Source organism: Homo sapiens, chromosome 5, assembly GCF_000001405.40.
Source record: "Homo sapiens chromosome 5, GRCh38.p14 Primary Assembly".
NCBI lineage: Eukaryota > Metazoa > Chordata > Mammalia > Primates > Hominidae > Homo > Homo sapiens.
In genome coordinates, this window is record NC_000005.10 from 166,880,811 (window position 1) to 166,904,602 (window position 23,792).

General features: G+C 39.2%; 1 long non-coding RNA gene across 1 annotated transcript in view, besides 1 other annotated feature; it reads right to left on the reverse strand.

Annotated features, from left to right (window-relative positions):
- LOC105377706 (uncharacterized) overlaps positions 1 to 14,915 on the reverse strand; it is a 50,105-nt gene extending 35,190 nt beyond the window's left edge. The window contains exon 1 of the long non-coding RNA XR_941182.1: positions 14,843 to 14,915. This is a non-coding gene — a long non-coding RNA (uncharacterized LOC105377706). The remainder of the gene's footprint in view (positions 1 to 14,842) is intronic.
- Positions 1,685 to 2,884: an enhancer, noted in NCBI's record as "MED14-independent group 3 enhancer chr5:166309500-166310699 (GRCh37/hg19 assembly coordinates)". NCBI's record gives its function as "activates an origin of replication core promoter dependent on BRD2, BRD4, P300/CBP and CDK7 cofactors, and independent of MED14, by STARR-seq in HCT116 cells {active_cell/tissue: HCT116}" and the evidence as "EXISTENCE:reporter gene assay evidence [ECO:0000049][PMID:35650434]".
- Positions 14,916 to 23,792: the final 8,877 nt, after the last annotated feature.

Here is a 23,792-nt window from a genome sequence, read left to right on the forward strand (position 1 = left end):
TCCTTTAAAAAAAAACGCTGTGTCCTATTTTTGATTAATATATTGGGAAACCATTTTTTTCCAAAAAGACTGTTTTTTTTTTTTTTAGGGCTTTACTATATTAATCACTATATTATCTTTATTCTGTCATGCATTATACCTTAAGCATATGGATTTAATTCTCTATGGTGTATATCTATTTTGGACTTAAATTATATGAAGTCAGTTAAACCCACAATTTTTTTCTAAACAATTTATTTTCATAGTCACCTAAGTATGCCCTATTTTGTTTTTGCACATCATACAGAAAGTCATGAAATGGATAACCTTTGTCCTTTTCCATTTTCAGCTATACGTCCTATAAGAAAAAATAAAACTATTTTTCAATTATTGCAGAAGGCAGCTTAAAATGCTGTTGTATTTTGATCTTTTGCTGGCCTTTTCCTTCACTCTCTGTTCTCCAGGTCACGAGAACTGTGAACAGTTCCCCAAAAGTACCATGGTCTGTTTCATGGTACCCATTCAACATTGGAATGTCTTTTCTGTCTTCTTATTCTCCCTCCTAGGTAATTTGTCTTCAACTCTCAGACCTCAACTAAACTTTTATCTCTAAAAATCTTTTTTGACCTCCCATATCTGGTTAGTTGCTTGTGTTTTTCCTATTACCAGCACTATCACATGCCATTGTAATTTCTCTATTTATTCTCAAATTCTTTTATAGACTATCAACTCCCTGAGGGCTGGGACTCGTTGGGACAGTTCCAACTCTACCTCTTAACCCAATGACTACCCAATAAGAGACCCTTAATAAAAACACATTGAATGAATGAATAAATGAATAAATTAGCTGTCATTTTTCCAAGGCAGATTGTAATTTAATTTGTTCTTATCATCTGGCATATTAAAAAGGGGGCTTTGTGCATAATTTGTGACTTTCCCAGTCTCCTGAGTTCTATTTTTGTGACTCTCTTTTATTTTATATAGTTTGATACTTAGCATGTTACTTCAGAACAACATAGCTCTTAAGTCTGTGATAGAAAAGAAAGAGAAGACAATCTAGTATTGTTATAAATCCGCCCTTAGGACCTATTTCTCAGGAAAAGCAGACAGGAATGAGTAGTGGTTGAGGATCTAAGAGCAGGCGGTGTCATTATAAAAACGAGAACAGGGCATCATTTCCACATTCACTTTCATTCCTCTGATATTCCCGCTCGCAAAAGCTCTGGCTTGATTGTTGACAGTCAACGAGTGAGAACTGTGGTTGCTACCGCCTTTATACAGAAAATCAGTGCGGCTGTATAAGAAGGGGTGAGAAATGGTGTTTCCTCTCATGAATAAAAACTATGTATCCTGATGTTGCTGACAAAGAGCTGAAGTTACTAAACCAATGATATACTCTCAGGGAAATGTACGTGAAAAGATACTTACTATTTTTTCTTTCTTTTCTCCCCCCTCCCCAGCTCTTTCCAGCCAATTCAACCGAAGGAACCAGGAACTGAGGAGGAAGGAAGTAATTGACATTCAAAGCCTCTATTTTTAGACACCTTTACACTTCCCTTTGCTTCTAACTAGCAAGGATTTTTCCAAACAAGCTTTTAATTAGCAGGTGAGTTTAATTGATATGTGGGTTTCTCAGAGGGGGAAAGGACTTCAGTGTGGAGAAGGAGGGAGGAGGAAACTCCATCACTCTCACTCACAATAGAAGGACCATTAATTCATTTGCACCTGGATGTTTTAAAGGATCAATTTACTGTAGCAAAGAAAGAAGGCAGAGAATCAAAAGGTTGGAATCTGTCAGACAAGAACAGAGGCACTATAATTTAACATGCTAGGTGGATGATTTAGAACTTGGAAAAATATTGCTACCAACGTCCAAATACAGAAACTAACCTATTTGCATATAGTCAGGTTCTGTCCAAGTGCTGAGAAAAGAGTCATGTTTCAAAACCAACGAAGTTAATTTTTAAAAAAATTTTAGTCTGCAGAAAAGTTAAAAAAATACATATTAAAATCACTGTTATTGATCTTAAAGGGGGAGTGCTTCATTAATGTACCTAAATGGTGATTTTAACTCACGAAGACGTTTTAAAAGTTTCATCCAAAGTAAATAGTCTGCTTTCTTGTCGGGGGAAGAGAAGGTGGATATTCTGTGTCCAGTTTTGCAAAATGAGTGCTTGCGGGAACCATATGAAGGTATATACATCATGAATCAGAAAACCATTGGTTGCATGCAATAGAGAAAAATACTGACTAAGGAAAGCAGAAAACCGAAAGAATAAAACATATTGGCTATCCTCACAATCACATGAATGGCTGAGTAATCAGGCCTCACAAAAAGGTAAGAATTAACGCAGCTCTGAAATCTAGAAAACAGAAGCCAGTAGAGAATCCCCTGAGGCATCAGCATCAGAATGACTCAGCACTTACCATTTTATTTCCTACTGTTATTTAGATGGAAATCCCCAATTCCCAGATCTGACTGGTCTAGCTTGATTCATACAACCATTCATTGACAAAGGAGGTAACATTCTTCAGTCCTACCGATAGTTGGTGGGGGAGAAATCGTTCAAGTAAAAAATTTCAGAAAGCTGATGCACATTTTGATCTACTCTAAAGCTATATATATGTGTATAAACACATGCATATAACATATAACCTACACATGTATATGCAGGTATATACGTCGTTACAAAATTGTAGTTATCAAATTTTTGTCCGCTATTCCAGCACCCATGCTTCCTGCCTGTTGTAGTGTGATTACAGGTGTTGAATGGGCATGGTGAAGCCTTGTGCACACAAGCACTGTTAAAGTGCAGATTCTCCATCAGCCACAGTGGAAGTCTGTGTTCCAGAGGAAGAAAATTCTCATTCGACTCCCTGCAGCTAGGATCCGTAAAAAAAAAATGGCTGCACTTTCACCCTTTAAGATGCCTTTTCAGATTATTTGATATTTATTCTTTAAAAAGCCTTAAATAACAGCTTGGACCCTGCTGAGTTCACCATAGAACTGTCTGAGACCTGTATTTATTAGGCAAATGGTAGTTACATGGAATACAGCGTCCTAAGAGAGAAGCAGGTTACATCAACATCTCCTACCCCTAAATTTCTGCTTCATGATGGGCCCAAACCAAGACACTTAGTATTATTCCAATAGAGAGTCATTCTTTGTTTGTAGTAGGAAGGGATAATTTATTATTTAAGAATGATCCACCCTCTTCAGGATAAATTTCGGGGATTCTTAATACTTATCTTGAAAACTGAATTTGTTTTCTTTATTAGGAAAAAGAAGAGTGAGAATGTTTTGAAAAACTATTGCCTGACCTTATGGTTAATCCTAGTGTTTTCTGGTGGAAATGCATTTCTGTCTTGGGCATAATATTTAAATCCATAAATTGGGTAACTTGGCTTACGTATAGGCACTTTGGATATTTGTAAGAGAAACCTGAAGAGAATATCATATCCAATTACAGTTCTGCCTTGTATGATTTGTGGTCTTTTATATCCTTCTCTAGAATGTTATCAATGCAAGCTCTCACAGCAAGCAGCTACCCGAGTGTAGTGTGTGCCGACGATAGGAAAGTAATGAAAATAAGAACCCTTGAATGCTGTAATTGGTGATCCAACCTCCTAGACTACTGAAAATTAATTGGCCAGATGTTCCCTACCCAACCGTAATGGGGGATAATGTAGGAGACTGAGTTTTCAACCTTCCCCAGGTGTGCACATTTGAGCAGAGAAAAGTGATTATGAGTGACATGCTGACAGGTGCAGTGCCCATGTTCCACAGTGCCCTTGTGTATCTGTTATATATTTAGGATTTTTCCCCAGAGGCACTTCAGCAATATGAAAATAGACCAGGAACAAAACCAAAAGACCCTTAAGATAGAAAAAAAGCTTGGAAGTTGTGAATATTATATTATGGATATATTAATTGTATTATTATTTTAGGTTACATCTATTCCCGTCACTGTTAGCTGTTACTATGTTTATGTGCCAAACACTGTATTAAGCAATTTTAGAGGTGGCTTCTTATATCATCTCTATTTTTTAGATGTATCAACTGATGTTCAGAGAGATAGAGTCAATCTGTCACAATTACACAGAAAGTAAGAGAGTAGATCTTGAGGCTCTAATATCAGAGCTCGTGAGCCTTATCTACTAAGCTATATAGTCTCCAAAAGAGCAGATTTTTTCACCTCTCCAAGCCACAGTCGCTTTGGTAAGTCCATTGCTTGTATTATCTCATTTAATTCTTACAACTACCAAGAGAGTTACAAATTACTTTCCCCATTTCACAAAACAAGACACAGATGTTAGAAGAGTATGATGAACTTGACCAAGGTCACATGCTACTACAGAACAGAGAGGGTGCTCAAATCTAGTTTTCTCTGACTCCAAAGCCCAGGTCTTAATCACAATGAAGCAGTGCTACAGAAAGGATTTTTTTTATATGAAAATATAGCATCATTGCTTTAAGTCTGACTTTTAAAATTGTCCTTATTCACATGCTGACATTCACAACAAAAACAATTAGGTCTCCATCTTCTCCTATGCAACATTTCCTTTTCTTCAGTTTTGAATGGAGCCCAAAGCACCCCCTGATTAGACCATGAAATTGCCCTCAAGAACTATTTAGAAAGAAAATGTTGTTCTTCTAATAAAACAGCACAGCTGTCTCAAAGAGCTTTTAATCCATCTTTTTAAAAGATGTGGACTTTCTAAAATAATGTCGCCCCCATTTGTCTTCTATGAAAGAAGATATTTCAAAACTAGGAACACCTATCATAATAAACCATTAAGATGACTCTAGCATTTCAGTGTATTTTTAGAATTTCATATTTCACCAAATGTTGTTATATATAATTCATGTAGTGGGATATGATGGGATTTGACAGTTATCTCATTTGTGAAGAAGGACCAAATAACTCATTGTCCCACATCCACAAAATAAATTATTCTTGTCCCCAAGCATGAGACTTTGTTAGTTTCCTCACCTTAATGGATTTTGTTTTCTACATAATACTTTTTGCAGAAGACTATGACCCTAAACATATATTGGGCTATTGTGAGAGAATGAAATTTCTGAAAATTAGCCTCATAGATCTAAAAATGAAGCATTAACAAAATAGTCTCTACTTCTAGAAGTAAAAAGAGACCCCAAGTGAAAATTGTTTCATAGGATTTCATTCAGTGTTTCTGTCACTTGTCAAACATGTGAAGAAAAAGCTTAAGTTTTTCCTGCTCTGTGAGTGGATACCATCTGTTTTACCTCAAGAAGGGTCTAGAGTTCTACTCTTCTTCATTTCCTCAATTTCAAAGTGTCCCACATTGGATTCTAACATTACAATGCTATAGTTGACTCTAGAATTTTCCAAAAATTAGATGCGTAGGTCTGAGTGTAATGCTTTGGTCCACAAGACATTTAAAAAGCATACATGAGGCTGGGCATGGTGGCTCACACCTGTAATCCCAGCACTTTGGGAGGCCGAGGCAGGTGGATCACAAGGTCAAGAGATCGAGACCATCCTGGCTAACATGGTGAAATCTCATCTCTACTAAAAATACAAAAAAAAAAAAAAAAAAAAGCTGGGCATGGTGGCACAGGCCTGTAGTCCCACGTACTCAAGAGGCTGATGCACGAGAATCACTTGAACCCAGGAGGCGGAGGCTGCAGTGAGCAGAGATCACGCCACTGCACTGCACTCCAGCCTGGGTGACAGTGTGAGACTCCATCTCAAAAAAAAAAAAAAAGTATACATAAATATAATTAAATGAAAATTTTTCCTAATTAAATTACATCAATATGTTGCATATATGCCTCACTGAATTTTGACTATGTTTTCACATTTTGTTCTTCATAATCATGCATATTTCTTACGGCTTTTAATTTTACCTGGTGTGAATAATAGTTTATGGTATCCTAGTTGATCAACTTCCTCGGGGACAGATGTTTCCTATTCTTTTTATTCTCAATTTATTGGCTATTCATAAAAACACTCGGTAACTCTTTTTCAAATTGAAGTAAGATTACCTTAATGCTGTTTGAGAAACAGAAACAGTCCTGAGTTGACTCCTTAAGGGTAAAGGTGAATTGTAGAAGGAGAAGGTGGCCAGTAAGGAAGCATTTGGAGGGAATACTAACTTGCAACTTCACTGTTTTTATTCTTGGAAAGTTTTCCATGGGAAATTGTGTCATAATACATTTTTTATGTCTCATAATAAAATGTTTAATGTCTCATAAAAAAATCTAAGCAGGTATTTATAGGATGACTAAAGGTACATATTCATATTTTGATCATAAACAGTCAATATATACTATATAAGTATACATAGAGTATATATAGAGCACTTAAATTTACAATTATATATGTTTAAGCTAGCACAAAATGACTTACTTGGTCAAGACATCACATATTTATACATTTATTATTGTACTTATATATCATAATCCAGTTATAATAGGTAGATATTTATAGCACGTGTATGTATTCCATTTACTAAAAGGATGTGTGTGTGTGTGTGTATGTGTGCAAATAACACTTGTGGCATCAGGAAGCATGGATAACTTAGCTCTAACCTTTTCTGAGGATATATATATGGCAGAGGCGAAAAACATATCTAGGTATCAGCAATAACCACATCTCAGCTGGGCTTCCTGGATTTCAATATCATCTGAGTGCAAAGCTAATAGTAATTCCAAAAGTTAGATGGCCACTGGCCTCCCCTAACAGTGCCCCAGAAGGTGTTTTTTAAAGCCCACTGCAATTGAGAGTTTTCAAGAGGTGAGAGGATCCTAGTAATATCTTTTTAATAACACTTGTGAGACAGTCAAATTGTAAACCACTAGGCCATTTTGCTTTAATTTTGGTTCATTTTCAGTAATCAGGTGATTAGTAGAAATATACAAGCAGGGATTCTTCAACAGATTCCACGAAGTGTGATTGTTTACTTGGACCTGCAGTAGTCCACAGAATTCTCCTGCTTACGGCGTTCAAAATTTAACATCAAGAGTGAAAGGTGGAACATTTCACAGATAGGATTAGAGGAAGACCCATAATCAAAGCACTTCAGGCAGAATGGCGAGGATGCTGAACACATTTTGTGTATTTTTTTTTGAAACTGAGTCTCACACTGTTGCCCAGGTTGGAGTGCAATGGCGCCATCTCAGCTCACTGCAACCTCCACCTTCCAGGTTCAGCGATTCTCCTAACTCAGCCTCCCTAATAGCTGGGATTACAGGTGTCCACCACCATGCCTGGCTAATTTTTTGTATTTTTAGTAGAGATGGGGTTTCACTATGTTGACCAGGCTGGTCTTGAACGCCTGACCTCATCATACACCTGCCTCGGCCTCCCAAAGTGCTGGGATTACAGGCGTGAGTGACCACGCCTGGCCCACATTTTGTGTATCTTTGAAGCACTGATTCCTCTAGCAGGTATGTTATATCCTTCAGGTCCTTTAACTCTTATAGTCATCCTTTGAGGTAAACTGGTTGTCTCCTGTTTCCAGGCAAGGAAACTGAAATTCAGAGTGATTGAGTGACTTGCCAATACATTTACTGCTAGGAAGACTTTCTATCACCATCAGAGTTGGAGACGAGCATCCCTGTAATGTAATCACTAGTTTACTATATCCCCGCTCCTCGAACTTAAGCTCCATGAGGACTAGGAATTTGTTTATATTATTAATTATTGTATTTCCAAAGCTTGGTACATTCATGACATCTATGCAACAAATATTTATTGAGTGCACAACATATGCTGAACACTAAAAAAAAAAAAAAAACTAAAAGCAAACAATACTGTAGTGGAGAAAGGCAAATCATAAGATAAAAACAATGTAAAAATGTATAGAATGTTAGATGGAGAAAGGCACTAGGGAAGGGGTAAGGAGAGAGTGGCTAGGGAAGTCCTTGCTGAGAAAGTGACAGTAGAACCAAGACCTGGCGGAGGGAGGCAAAGTGGGGAGCTCTGAGGATAGATCAAAGCGAAAAGCATCCCAGGCGGAGGGCACAGCCAGTTTGTAGGTATGAGATGGAAATGAACCTGGCATGTCTGAGTATAGCAAGGAAGCCAGTGTGGCTGGGGAGGAATGAATTAGAGGAGAGTAGTAGGGTATGCAATCAGACAAGCAGTGGGTGGAAGAGAGGGAAGAAGACCTTCTAGGCCCTTATAGGCCAATATATGACCCTGGCTTTGGGGAATGAGAAGCCAATGAAGAGTTCGAACAAAAGGACAACATGACTTGATTTACCTCTTTGTAAGATGATCACATTACCACATTGAGAAGACACTTAAAGAGGTCAAAAACAGAACCAGGAGGAGGGAAGTTTGGAAAGTATTGAAAGAATTCAGACATACACAATCACATTCAGCTTAAATGAGGTGGAGAAACAGTGAAGGTGGTAGGATGTAGTGAGCTGGGCTGGGGGCGGTGGCTCACGCCTGTAATCCCAGCACTTTGGGAGGCTGAGGCGGGTGGATCACGAGGTCAGCAGATCGAGGCCAACATGGTGAAACCCCGTCTCTACTAAAAAATACACAATTTAGCTGGGTGTGGTGGTGCGCACCTGTAATCCCAGCTACTCGGGAGGCTGAGGCAGAAGAATCACTTGAACTGGGGAGGCAGAGGTTTCAGTGAGCCGAGATTGTGCCACTGCACTCCAGCCTGGCGTCAGAACGAGACTCCACCTCAAAAAAAAAAAAAAAAGTATTGAGCTTCTGGATATATTCTGAAAGTAAAGCTCACAACATGGTGTTTGATGTGGGGCATGAGTGTGCTAGGCAAGTCAGGGGCGACCTGAGGTTTTTGGCCTAAGAAAGTGGAAAGATGGAGGCACCATCAACTGCAACACAATATGTTTTGGGGGAAAGATCTAATGTTGAGTCTGGGGCATGACACATTTGAGATGCCTATTAGACCCCCTACCTGAGATCCTAGGTTGGCTATTAGATAGCGGAGCCTTCTAGAGTCCATGGGAGAGTTTGGAGCTTGGGATATAAATATGATGTCATTAGTGTAGAGAGAGTATCCAAAGCACGGGACTGGGTGAAATCTCCACGGGAATGAGTGAAAGTCTAATTCCTAGTGGAAACTTTTAAATGATCTGTAAATGAATAAATGAATACATGCAACAAAGGTAAGATTGGAAGAAACCTAGTTTGTTTAATAGCAGAGCTGGGTGTAGATCAAAGTTTTTACTTGTCATCAACAGAAAGTCTCCCTGGCTATTTCAAACAACCCCCCTGAAAAACAGCAAGAAATATTTATTTTAAAAAGATATTGAGGAACTCACAGAATATTGTTTTGAAAACTAGAAACCAGGCTTAAATGCTACATAATCAGAAACAAGACCTACAATTACTACACAGGCATTTTGAAAAATAGCAACATGTCAGCTTTAGCCACAGAATGAGAATGATGATGGTCATCGTGATAGTTGAAATTAAGGAAAAGGGGATCATTTTTAATGGACACCTACTATGTGATAGATAATGATTTTTTTTTTTTTTTTTGAGACAGAGTTTTGCTCTGTCGGCAGGCTGGAGTGCAGTGGCGTGATCTCAGCTCACTGCAACCTCCAACTCCCTGGTTCAAGCGATTCTCCTGCCTCAGCCCAAGCTTGTAATCCCAAGCAGCTGGGATTACAGGCATGCACCACCATGCCCAGCTAATTTTCGTATTTTTAGTAGAAACAGAGTTTCACCGTGTTGGCCAGGATCGTCTCAATCTCTTGACCTCGTGATCTGCCCACCTCGGCCTCCCAAAGTGCTCAGATTATAGGCGTGAGCCACCACACCTGGCCAGATAATGATTTTTAATCATGATGGATAATTCATTTTAATGAATGCCTACTATGTTACTATGTAGCTCATTTAATTCTCACACCTCTTTGTGAAATGTGTATTTTTATCATTATTATTTTGAGATAGGGTCTTGCTTTGTCACCCAGGCTGAAGTGCAATGGCACAATTACAGCTCACTGCAGCCTCCACTTCCCAGGCTCAGGTGATCCTTCAACCTCAGCCTCCTAAGTAGCTGGGACTATAGCTATATGCCACCATGCCTGGCTAATGTTTTTTAAAAAATGTTTGTACAGATGTGGCGGGTCTCACTACATTACCAAGGCTGGTCTTGAACTCCTGAGCTCAAGCAGTCTTCCCTCCTCGGCCTCTAAAAGTGCAGGATTATAGGTGTGAGCCACCATGCTCAGCTGTGATATTATTACTCTCACTTTATAGATAAAGAAACTGAGGATCAGAGGGGATAAGTCAGTCTTCCATGTCACGCAGACGGTGGGCACCAGATTTGCTTCATTCCATTTTACCAGATTGCCTTCCCAAAGCAAAAATAGGCTCAGCATTTCATAAAAAGCCTCATTTTTTCCCCCGGAACATGAAGTAGGCAGGGCTGATGGTTTATTCCTGTTTAATAAAAAGGAAAACGAGGCCGGGCGCGGTGGCTCACGCCTGTAATCCCAGCACTTCGGAAGGCCGAGGCGGGCGGATCACGAGGTCAGGAGATGGAGACCATCCTAGCTAACACGGTGAAACTCGGTCTCTACTAAAAATCTAAAAAAATTAGCCTGTAGTCCCAGCTACTCGGGAGGCCGAGGCAGGAGAATGGCGTGAATCCGGGAGGCGGAGCTTGCATTGAACCCAAATCGCGCCAGTTCACTCCAGCCTGGGCGACAGAGTGAGACTCCGTCTCAAAAAATAAATAAATAAATAAATAAATAAATAAATAAATAAATAAATAATAAATAAAAACACGAAAGTTATGAAAGTTAAATAACCTGGCCACCTCGACAATCTCTAAAAGCAGATGAGATATGAGATTTAACTCACTGTCTCAGTGTGACTTAGTGCTCTCGCCACCACTCGGAACTGAGTTTAGCAAAACTAATGCTGGTGTTAATGAAAACATCTTAACTTTATTCTTTTGGAAAGGGTCTTTACAGTTTATTGATTACCTTCAATCACTGAAATATGTGAATATACTAAACACCTATATTTATTGATTGTACAGTTGGAGTTCTTTGACAATCTAATGGTATCTCTTTATGTATTTCCGCCCGACTTAAATCCTAATTGTGATAGCATTTTCCCCAAGTAACACACAATTGCTAATAATTTTCACTTTTCACTTGATTTTTATTTGATTTTTTTTTCCTTAGTTGCTTTCTCCCTTCCGTCAAACCACTCGTTTGGAAACAAGGAACTATCTCCCCTCACTCAGTTTCTCTCATTCTGATGTAGACAATCAATCTCTCTTGTCAATACCATATTTCTCTGCCCACTTTGTCATTTATTGTTGTATTGGATTGCCTTTCACTTTATTTCTGTGGTCCTTTTTCTTTTGAATCTTTAAAAATTTATTTCTCCCAACTGAATCATTTCAGTTCTGAGGAATGAGATTTTACGTGCTTTTTCTCCCTCAACATGTTATGTTTATCATGAGATTAACATCTTTATTTTTTGGCTCTGAAGACTCTTGAACATTCTCTCCCGGTCATTTTTATTTTCTTTCTTGCTTTTGTGGCTCTATGTTGTTAACAGTTCTTCATGGCCTGCTCTCCACCTATCTTTTGGTTTGCCCTGTTTTCCTACATCAGCTTCTTGGGAGGTTTTATTCTTCAATTTTTTTACATGATGATATCACAAATCTTTGCTACCAGGTACAGTCAAAGAATTATAACTCCTCTGGTCTGTTCCACTCTCTGCACATGTTTATTAGTAAGCGGATAGTATTGGAAGAGTTTCCAATCTTATACTCTGCTTGTCCAGAGCTTATATTTATTTTTAAAAAGTACTTCAATCTAAAAGAAACTATATCTCAAAATAAGATTCAGGTTTATTCGCTGCTATTCGAGTGGTGTTTGCAACCCACAACCCCTACCCATATTCTTCTGAGTAATTGCTTTGTACAGAGATGTTTTAACTTTTTTTTTTTTTTTTTTTTTTTTTGAGACGGTGTCGCCCTCTGTCACTCAGGCTGGAGTGCAATGGCGCGACCTCGGCTCACTGCAAGCTCCTCCTCCCGGGTTCACACCATTCTCCTGCCTCAGCCTCCGGAGTGGCTGGGACAACAGGCACATGCCACCATGCCCAGCTAATTTTTGGTATGTTTAGTAGAGACAGGGTTTCATCGTGTTAGCCAGGATGGTCTCAATCTCCTGACCTCATGATCTGCCTGCCTTGGCCTCCCAAAGTGCTGGGATTACAAACGTGAGCCACCGCTCCCGGCCTTAACTTTTGACTAATATTTTAAAAATTAAAAGTATAATAAGTGGATCTAGTAAACATCTTAATAGTATCAAGAAAATTAGGGCAGCAGTTGCCTATGGTGTACAGAGTTGAGCTTTGGAGGTAGACATGAGTTTGAATCCTGGTTTCACCTTTTTCCAGCATGTGATCTTCAGATACATTAATTCACTTTCCTCAGTCTTAAGTTCCTCTTTCCTTAAAAATCGGGATAATGGGTCGGGTGCAGTGGCTCACGCCTGTAATCCCAGCACTTTGGGAGGCTGAGGCAGGTGATTCATGAGGTCAAGAGATTGAAACCAGCCTGGCCAACATGGTGAAACCCTGTCTGTACTAAAAATACAAAAATTAGCTGGGTGTGGTGGCACGCGCCTGTAGTCCCAGCTACTCGGAAGGCTGAGGTGGGAGAATCACCTGAATCCGGGAGGCGAAGGTTGCAGTGAGCCGAGAGCGCACCATTGCATTCCAGCCTGGCGACAGAGCAAGAGTCTGTCTCAAAAACGAAGAAACAAACAAACACACCAGGATAATTATATCTGCTTTGTGATATAGTTGAAGGATTAAGTAGTTTGTATTAGTCTTCTAGGGCTGCCATGATAAAGTGTTTAAGCTGGGTGCCTTAAACAATAGAAATTTATTCTCTCACTGTTCCAGAGGCCAAAAGTCCAAGATCAACATGTGGACAGGTTTGCTTTCTCCTGAGGCCTCCCTCTCTCTTTGGCTTGCAGAGAACTACCTTTTCCCAGTGTCTTCACATGGTAGTCCCGCTGACTGTGTATCTGTATCCTAATCTCCTGTACTTATAAGGACATGGTCCTACTGAAGGAGGCTCCACCCTAGTACACTTATTTTACGGTCATCATCTCTTTAAAGGCCCTATTTCCTAACACAATCACATTATAGGTACTGAGAGTTAGGACTTCAACATATGAATTCGGGAGGACACAAATCAACCCATAACACCTTCTATAAATATTTTTATTCAGCAGCTAACACACTGTACATTCGTCATAGCTCTTAGCTATTGTTTTTACTATTTTATATAGAATGTCACTATTTCTTTTTTTTTTTTTTTTTTTAATTTGGACCAAGAGTTTACTTAACTTCATGGAGTATTTAATGGTGGAGATAAGACACAATTCCTTATTCCTTATATGAGCCCTCTGCAGATGACATCCTCAATAACGTTAGCTAAAATTAGCTAGTTAAGAGTACTACACAAGCAAGATTACCATAAATTAAGGCTTCAGGAAAATTAAACTCTAACTCTGAAAGTATTTGCCCACCTAGTCAATTCCATCTACATCCGAAACCTTTATTTTTCAGCCTGGCCTCCCTCTTGAGAGTTGCTGTTTTTCTGGATAACTGAAATTTGACATAGGCAATTACTTCAACTTCTACACGTCAAAACATCTCAGGCCAGTCACCAGCCAAAGCAATGCTCGACTACATTTTCCAATATATGTCAGTGGATCCCATTATTTTCCTAAGTCCCTAAGCCATCCTGTAGACTATCATGCAATCATTTATTCAGTCATGAGTTCTATCATTCAATCTCTGGCCTTGGTTTCTTTTTCTTTCTTTCTTTTTTATTTTTATTTTTTTGAGACAGAGTCTCACCCTGTCACCCAGGCTGGAGTGCAGTGGCTCCATCTCAGCTCACTGCAACCTCTGCCTCCCAGGTTCAGGTGATTCTCTTGCCTCAGCCTCCGGAGTAGCTGGGACTACAGGCGCTATTGTATTTTTGTAATCCCAGCACTTTGGGAGGCCGAGGCAGGTGGATCACCTGAGGTCAGGAGTTTGAGACCAGCCTGGCCAATATGATAAAACACCGTCTCTACTAAAAATACAAAAATTAGCCGGGCGTGGTGACATGCGCCTGTAATCCCAGCTACTCGGGAGGCTGAGGCAGGAGAATCATTTGAACCCAGGAGGTGGAGGTTGCAGTGAGCTGAGATCATGCCACTGCGCTCCAGCCTGGGCAGCAGAGAGAGATTCTGTCTCAAAAAAAAAATTATTCTGCAGGTTTGTATATATAACAATCACATGAGATACATCTTCCCCATTCTGTAGATTATGAGAGATGTAAATGATTTTTGTGGGTAATTTCACCTATCTTTGATTTCTGCCTTACATGCTACTTTACAAGGTAAGCACTGTTTAATTTGGGACTCCATAGTCCCATTTCTCAACCACTTAGGTGGCCATTTACTACCTAAAGAATAAATCTTGAGTTTTTAAATCTCTTATGCAATTCTTCAACCTCATCTTTTATCCCTCTACGGACCCTCAAGTGCAGCGCATCAGGCCTGCTTACTTTCCTGTGTTACAGACAGTGTTTCTGCTTTGAAACTTTGCCCCATCCCCTTTATCTGCAATCATCTCCCTCCATTTCCACCTAGAGAAATCCTACCTATCTAGTAACTTTCAGTTAATCACCCACAGCTGGAAATAGGCTCGCTTTCCTCTGAACTGTAACACTTGGCTTCTAACAGACTTTTATGCCTTATCCCCACCATGTTCACCGTAGAAAAATGAGCAATGCAGAGAAACAAGAAAGGTAGGGATAAAAAAGAGAAAAAAAAGACTCATTATCTCACCCCCAGAGACAACCACCATGAATGTTCAAGAATATGCCTTTCTTGATGTTTCTTCTTTTCATATACATCATCGTCTTCCTTGTCATAATTAAAAGAGGAAAAGTAGAAAATGCTATCATTATTTTCTCAGGTGCCAGATACTATGTTAAGATTTTACAACCATTATATTCTTTAATCTTCACAACTACTGTATGAGTATTTTATTTTTATCTTCATTTGATAGAAAAAGAAACCCAGAGGCCACTCGAGGTGGCTCACACTTGTAATCCTGGCACTTTGGGAGGCTGAGGTGAGTGTATCATTTGAGGTCAGAAATTCGAGACCAGCCTGACCAACATGATGAAACCCCATCTCTACGAAAAATACAAAAAAATTAGCCGTGCGTGGTGGCACATGCCTATAATCCTAGCTACTTGGGAGGCTGAGGCCAGAGAATCGCTTGAACCTGGGAGGCAGAGGTTGCAGTGAGCCAAGATCGCGCCACTGCACTCCAGCCTAGGCAACAGAGTGAGACTCCGTCTTCAAAGAAAAAAAAAAAAGAAAGAAAAAGAAAAGAAACCTCGAGCTTAGAATGTTAGGCTAGTTTCCCAAGGTAACAAACCTACAGAGGTAGAAACTGGTAGAGTCCACGTTTGCTTTACTTAACTGCAACTAGTCGTCAACCTTAACTGCAACACAATGCTGCCTGTATGTGTGTCTGTGTAGGTGTTTGTGTGCATGTGTATGCTATTAGATAGAATTATAACAAAATTATTTTTCCTCATATATAAAAAAATAAAAACTTTAAGAAGACAATGGAAAAATGAAATCTCTAAGACTGCAAGCCAAATTCTATATTAAAGTGTCCCTCTGAAAGGACAGACTCAAAATTACTCATAAGAATAATGATTACGGGCCAGGTGTGCTGGCTCACTCCTGTAATCCCAGCACTTTGGGAGGCCAAGGCGGGCAGATCACCTTAGGTCAGGAGTTTGAGATCAGCCTGGCCAACATGGTGAAACCCCATCTCTACTAAAAATACAAAAATTAGCCAGGTGTGGTGATGGGTGCCTATAATCCCAGCTACTTGGGAGGCTGAGGCAGGAGAATCCCTTGAACCCAGGAGGCAGAGGTTGCAGTGAGCCAAGATCCCGCCACTGCATTCCAGCCTGAGTGACAGAGTGAGACTCCATCTCAAAAAAAAAAAAAAAAAAAGAATAATGATTATGGTTTACATATATATGATATATATGATGCTTACCACCTGCTAGGCAGTATTTTGAGTTCACTAACTCATGTAGCTTTCACAATAACTTTGTGGGAGAAGTACTATACCTGTCACTATTTTACAAATGTGCAAACTGAGAAACAGACAAGGGAAGTGACCCGCCCAAGGTCACAAGGCTATTGTGACGCCTCAGCCTACAGGAGAACATGACACTTTTCTATGTAGGACAATGATGTATATTTAACTTCCACCTTCTCACCTTCTGTCTTTGTACCGTTTATAACCACAGTGTACTTACCTTGGCTGTAACATGATATTTAATATGTAATCAGCAACTCAAATTTGGGATGATTCTTGAGCCAGTTTTGTTTGCAGAAGCAGGGCACTAACTTTAATTAACTTTAACTAGAACCGCTTGTAGCTCCATGTGAAAAGAGACACAAAAAGGCCCATTAACTCTGAACATCATTTCCGTGTTTCTGCTCCGTATGCCCTCAAGATAGTACTTTTTCCCTGCTGTTCCTTGATTTTTGCCTCTTTTTTTCATTTTTTAAAATGGATTAGCACAGGGTGTTAGTGCAAAATTAGTCATGTATTTACTATAGCCTTTTAGTTCACCTAAACACATTATTTCTGAGAAAATGGTAGAGAACTTTGAGGAATATTCTATTTTAATGGTTGAAAACCTTTCTTTTTAGGAATCCCTTCATCTAATTCATGGCTAAGGTATTCGGTCTCAATTTTTTCTGAATCTGTGTGTGTGTGTTTTAAAGACATTCTCCTTAGCCAACTCTATTTCTTTTTTCTTTTCTTTCCTCTTTTTTATTTTTATTTTTCAGACAGTCTCACTTTGTTGCCCAGGCTGGAGTGCATTGGCATGATCTTGGCTCACTGCAACCTCCGCCTCCTGGGTTCAAGCAATTCTCCTGTCTCAGCCTCCCAAGTAGCTGGGATTACAGTCGCGGGCCACCACACCCGGCTAATTTTTGTATTTTTAGTAGAGACAGGGTTTCACCATATTGGTCAGGCTGGTCTCGAACTCCTGACCTCAGGTGATCCACCCGCCTCTGCCTCCCAAAGTGCTGGGATTTCCGGCGTGAGCCACCATGCCCGCCCAGCCAACTCTATTTCTAAGACACTTGTTTTGAACACACTAACAGTAGACTCTCATTCTCGCTGTAACACATGCTTACCTGGTTAGGTAAGATTCAATGAAAATTGCTAACTTTCAAATATTTACTATGTCATAAAAACTTGCTACATGATTCCACACACAAACATTTTCTGAAAACTAGCATTTGGAATTACTTTTTACTATTTTTGTGACTCTAGACTTTGAAGGAATGCTTCAATGACAGCTGAGGCAAGACATTTAGCAACGTCTGCCACTGTCTTCTTTGTATTCCGTGCCAGGCACAAGGACTCTTTCTGTTGAAAGTTTTATCATGTACAAGGCTATTAACATTATGAGGATAGGCTGAAGCATGAATAAATGCTGAGACTTACTGATGATGTCATTACACTGGTCAATAAAATACATAGAGGCAAGGGCTTCCCATGATCTCAGGCTCGACTAAATCAGGATACACGAGCAATTAACTCTTTAATTAAGACGAATGGGTGACATTAGCCCTCCTTAAACTCTGCTCGTCAGCATTTACAAATAGAAAAAGATAGATGCCTCCTTCCCAAGAAATATAGGTTTTATTTTTCATTCATTGACACAGTCTCATTCTTCCTACTTTGTAAACAAAGTCACTGGAGTATTGGGATGGTCAGAGATATTTTAATGTGTTCCTTCCATCAGTCATATCTCTTACTATGAAAGGCTCCATATTGGAATGTATTCAGTGTTTTATGAAGCTAACTTTACCACTATTGTTACTGAACACAATTGCTTTGCCTTTCTCCCCAATGCACACAAAGAAGATTCACGTCAGAATCTCATAGAAAAAGATGAATGCAGCACAGCATGAAGACAGTATTTATCCATTTGTTCTACTAACAACTGTCCATTGATATCCGCTACTTTGCCAGTAACTTATTTCAAGACTGGAAATCTAGAGCTATATACTTGAGTTCTGCTGTGTCTCAAATTAGTCAGTCTCTTGACCCTACGCAAAAATGTCTCTGAACCTCTGTTTTCTCATTTGTAAAATCTGGTTGCTGGAACAGTTGATCTCTTAATTCTTTTTCAGTAATGTTTAACACAGTAAAAATGGACAACAATGGTATGCATCATTGTAGGAACAAAGCGTCGAAACCAACATTGTCTTAAGAGAAATAAAAGGTGATTCATATGATTCGTATATATAATTTAAAATTCTCTAATAGCCACATTTTTAAAGGTAGAATTAATTTTAACATTTCATTCAATGTATCCAAAATGTCATTCCAGCAAGTAATCATATGTAGTTATATGATCTATTTTATATATATTACCGATTTTATAATATTTGTCGTACTATGTCTTTGAGATCCCAGTGCACACTTCAATTTAGACTAGTCTCATTTTGAGTGATCAAAAGCCACAAGTGGCTAATGGCTAACTTATTGGACAGCACACTTCAAATGTCAACAAATATGAAAACAAATACAACTATATCCTTTAAATATTTGTCTGTTTTGACTAAATGTTTTGAGCAAAAATTTGTCAAATGTATGTTTTATTATTTATTTATTTATTTATTTATTTATTTATTTATTTTTTAGATGGAGTCTCACCCTGTCTCTAAGACTGGAGTGCAGCGGTGCGATCTCGGCTCACTGCAACTTCTGCCCCCTGTGTCCAAGCGATTCTTGTGCCTCAGCCTCCTGAGCAGCTGGAATTATAGGCATGCACCACCACGCCCAGCTAATGTTTTGTATTTTTAGTAGACAGGAGGTTTTGCCATGTCAGGCAGGCTGGTCTTGAACTCCTGACCTCAGGTGATCCACCCACCTCAGCCTCCCAAAGTGCTAGGATTACAGGCGTGAGCCACCATGCCTCAAAAAAAAAAAAAAAAAAAAAAAAAAAAAAAAAAAGAATCAAAAACCTTGGATTGTCCATAGGCAATATAATTTACCTGAATAAATTTGATCTCATAAAAAATCACTATTGCGCAAACTTTTTTACCACTATGTGGCATAAAATGAAAACATTCAGCTATAGAAAGAGACAATATCCTATTTACGCTCCATCATAAATGGGGACCACTGTCTATTCTTTGCTTAAAAGACACTCAGATATGTGGTTAATGATACCATCTATCTAATGAATCAGATGTTATTATAAATAGAAAGGTGCTACCTATACCATAAAGAAATATACCATTTAAAAGCTGGGTGCAGTGGCTCATGCCTGTAATCCCAGCACTTTGGTAGACTGAGGTGGGAGGATCCCTTGAAGCCAGGAGTAAAAGACCAGCTTGGGCAACAAAGCAAGACCCTATCCCTGAAAAAAAAAGGAAGGAAGGAAGAGGAAGGGAGGAAGGAAGGAAGGAAGAAAGAAAGGGAGGGAGGGAAGGAAAGAAAAAGAGAGGAAGGAAGGAACGAAGGAGGGAAGGAAGGAAGGAAGGAAGGGGAAAGAAAGAAGAAATATACCATTTAAAAATCCATCTTTTGGCTGGGCGTGGTGGCTTACGCCTGTAATCCCAGCACTTTGGGAGGCCGAGGTGGGCGGATCACGAGGTCAGGAGATCGAGACCATCCTGGCTAACATGGTGAAACCCCATCTCTACTAAAAATACAAAAAATTAGCCAGGCGTGGTGGCGAGCGCCTGTAGTCCCAGCTACTCGGGAGGCTGAAGCAGGAGAATGGCGTGAACCCGGGAGGCGGAATTTGCAGTGAGCCGAGATCGCGCCACTGCACTCCAGCCTGGGTGACAAAGCGAGACTCTGTCTCAAAAAAAAAAAAAGAAAAAAAAATCGATCGTTTATTTCATAACTTACTTTTATTTCTTAGCTTCATTTACATTTTTACACATTAAGTGGAAATCATAAAATTTCAGGGGTAGTGGCAGGTCCATATTTTCATACTTGGCACATTTCACTCTAGCTGATTCTACTTATGCATTTTTCTTGTTTAACTGGACTCAACAAATACAGTCATGAAGTTAAAAAATAAATCGAACTATAGAAAAATATTTTGGTTAGAGATGATAGGTTTTTAAAATTGCAGTTCTTTGTTATCTCACATTATGTGGATGTTTTCAATTTGAGATATTTCCTCTCATCAATAATAATAATAATAATAATGTTAACCAAACTATATTTAGCTTTTTATAAGTGCTAGGCACTGTGCAGTGTTGTATATTTTATATAATAGTATCTAACTTAGGTCTGCCTGAATTAAAAAACTCACTGAAAAGTAACCTCTCTAATTCAAAGAAATCTCTCTCATTTATAAACTCTTATGGAAGTTTATTGATACCATTATTTTCTATATCTATGAATGTATGTTAATTACCTAGGAGCTTCAGCACTGAAAACATTCAATGAATATTTGTTGAATAAACTATTTAGATAGACTATAAGTTTTCAAATAAGACATTTACTCAGTAAATATCTACATTCAATGTGATAGACCCTTTTTATAGTAAATGAAATAAATATTTTAAAAACTGTCTTTCTATGTGATAGACCTTTACCAATTGAAGGGTATACATATTAAAAAATAATCACACACAGTTCTTTGTCTTGTAGAGACTCACAGTCTAGTGTAGGAGACAGATGTTAAAATCAATAGTTCTAAGACCACATTATAAAATGCAACTGTAGAAGATTCAGAAAAGCTGGGAAGAAGAGGCTCAGTTCCCCAGGAGAGTGTAGAACATAGAGGAATGGGGATACTGCAGAAGAGTTTAGAAGAAGTAGTAGAACATTTATTTCTTTCCTTTTCTTTCTTTCTCTTTCTTTCTTTCTTTCTTTCTTTCTTTTCTTTCTTTCTCTTCTTTCTTTCTTTTCTTTCTCTCTCTCTCTTTCTTTCTTTTCTTCTTTCTTTCTTTCTTTTTTTTTTTTTAGACAGTGTCTCATTCTGTCGCCCAGGCTGGAGTGCAGTGGCACTATCTCAGCTCACTGCAACCTCTGCCTCTGGGGTCAAGTGATTCTCCTGCCCTAGCCTCCCAAGTAGCTGTGATTACAGTGTCCCACCACCATACCTGACTGATTTTTAGTAGAGACAGGGTTTCACCATGTTGCCCAGGCTGGTCTCAAACTCCTCGTCACAGGTATCTGCCCGCCTCTGCCTCCCAAAGTGCTGGGATTACAGGCAAGAGCCACTGCACTCAGCCAGAAGTAGTAGACCATTTCTAGGTAGCATAGCAGAGGGTGTCACAAACCAAGGGGACACAAAAATGGGAAAGAATGGAGTGGGCTCTTTTGTCAGTAGCCTGCGAGCTTAAGAATTGGTGCATAGTGGGAACTGGCAGGACCTGTGGGTGGAAAGATGCTTGGGAACTTTATTGGGGATGACACATATGTATATATCATGTAGAATTTGACTTTTGTTAGCAATGGAAAATGATTGGAAGTTTTTAGGTAAAGACATAAAGTCAGATTTCGGTTCACACACCATAATTGTGGCATGAAAATGGTGAACGATTTGAGAAAGCCAGACTCTAATTGGAGGCCACTGCAATAAATGAGGGGAGACAAAATGAGTGCCCACGCAAATGTTAAAGGGTAGGTGAGGAGGAGGAAAGGATTTCAAAGCCATTCCTGGGGCTGATTCTACAGTGTTTATTACAGGCAGGTGATGGGAGAAGGGAGACAAGTACAGCTATAAAAGCTCTTAACTAGGTGAATGCTGGTTTTATTAAATATTAAAACAACACTGGACTTAATGTAATCATTTTTTCTGGTTTCAAAAGCACTTTCAGAGTTTAGCAATGTTCCCTGTCAATTTGAGTAGTAGTTTATTGTAATGTTGTGGAAAATACCCCGAACAGAGTAAGAAAAACTATTTCACAAACTGCCTCTGCAAATTGGGCACAAGAATCCTTAGCTCTGAAGAACTCATAGAAAATGGTGAGGATTAAAGCTATAAGCAACCTTTGGCTGTGGAAAAAAAACATAACTTCTCTGATTCTTCTTTCTAGTCTAGTATTTGGAGACAAAGTAGTTAATTAAGCACATGTGTGTTTTCAAAATCAGTCACAGTAAGTATTCTTGAGGAAAGACCTTGCAATCATACCAAATGTTCCCCAAAATATAAAAGTTAGTTAGGACTTTAATGAGATGGGGAACATAAAGCAAAGCTGTATGTGCTTTCTCTTACACCCCCAAAAGACAAAAACAAAAAGTCTGGAGAAACCAAATGACTATCTAAAACTATCCTTTTTCAAATCTTCCCAAAAGAAAAAAGAGAATTAGAAGGTCAGTTTAGACAAAGTCACAAATTGTCAAATTGCTATTATTAATAGTAGTAATATAAAAATAAGTCATCATTATGTTCCTATTGATACATTATGATATTACACTTGTACTGTAAACAGGACCATCACTGGCCACATGAATCTTTTGAGTTGTGGGATACATAATTCAGTGGCTCTTCCTTGAGAATCATTTGCTTTCCAGGAGACATTTCGCAATTTTTGGTTGTCACAACTGAGGATTCTTGTTGGCATCAACAAGGTCGAGACCAGGGATGCTGCAAATATGTTACAATGCACAGGACGGCCCCGGCTCACCTCCGATAAAAAAGTATCTGGTCCGTCACACCTGTAATCCCAGCACTTTGGGAGGCTGAGGCGGGTGGATCACAAGGTCAGGAGATCGAGACCATCCTGGCTAACACAGTGAAACCCCATCTCTACTAAAATACAAAAAATTAGCGGGTCGTGGCGGTGCGTGCCTGTAATCCCAGCTACTTGGGAGGCTGAGGCAGGGGAATCGCTTGAACCTGGGAGGCAGTGGTTACAGTGAGCTGAGATCAAGCCACTGCACTCCAGCCTGGCGACAGAGTAAGACTTCATCTCCAAACAAACAAACAAACAAACAAGCGTATCTGGTCTAAAATATCAGTAATGCAGATATTGAGAAATGTCGATATGGACTATGTATGAAGCTTCTTAGGAGATTCTGAAGGTTGCGGTTATAATGTACAGAAAGTCATTTAATACTTTAAATTAAAACATAATCAAGTGTGGCAATTCATGAATTAAATGCTGCATGAAATTCAAATGGAAGACAGAAATATAAAGACTGTGTTGCTCCAGATTCTCTATCAATAAGCATGTTTTTCCCTGCTCATAGGACTTATGTTATTTGAAGTCATTCACGTGCCATTTAACATTTTCTCTGAGAAACTGCCTTAAAAAAAAAAAAAAACCTGGGTGAAGTTGTAATAATAGGGAATACTGAATGCAGAAGGTTTGGAACAGTTTTCACCTTGGGAGTGGTACCCTCTAGCTTGGTCCGTTTATATCCGCTGAGGACAGAGAACTTAACTTTATAGCTAGGATCACAAATTTAAATGCCTAAGGCAAGGCTGGTATTCAGCACTAACTACAGTCACTCCCACATCAGTTGGAAGATATCTGCCGGCTCAAACTCCCCAGGCACCCCCAAACTACCCCAGGTGCCCTGGGTGATCTCCTAGTCTCTCTGGGAACAGTCCTACAACCAAGGGGTTGATAATGTAGCAGGGAGCCCAGGAACTCTTCTAGGTTGTAAAAGCAGGGCCTGTAATAATTCCTATTGGTTGGTGTCCAAGCCATGCTTACTATTATGTATTTATCAGTCTGGGTGAAGTAAACCTGGTTG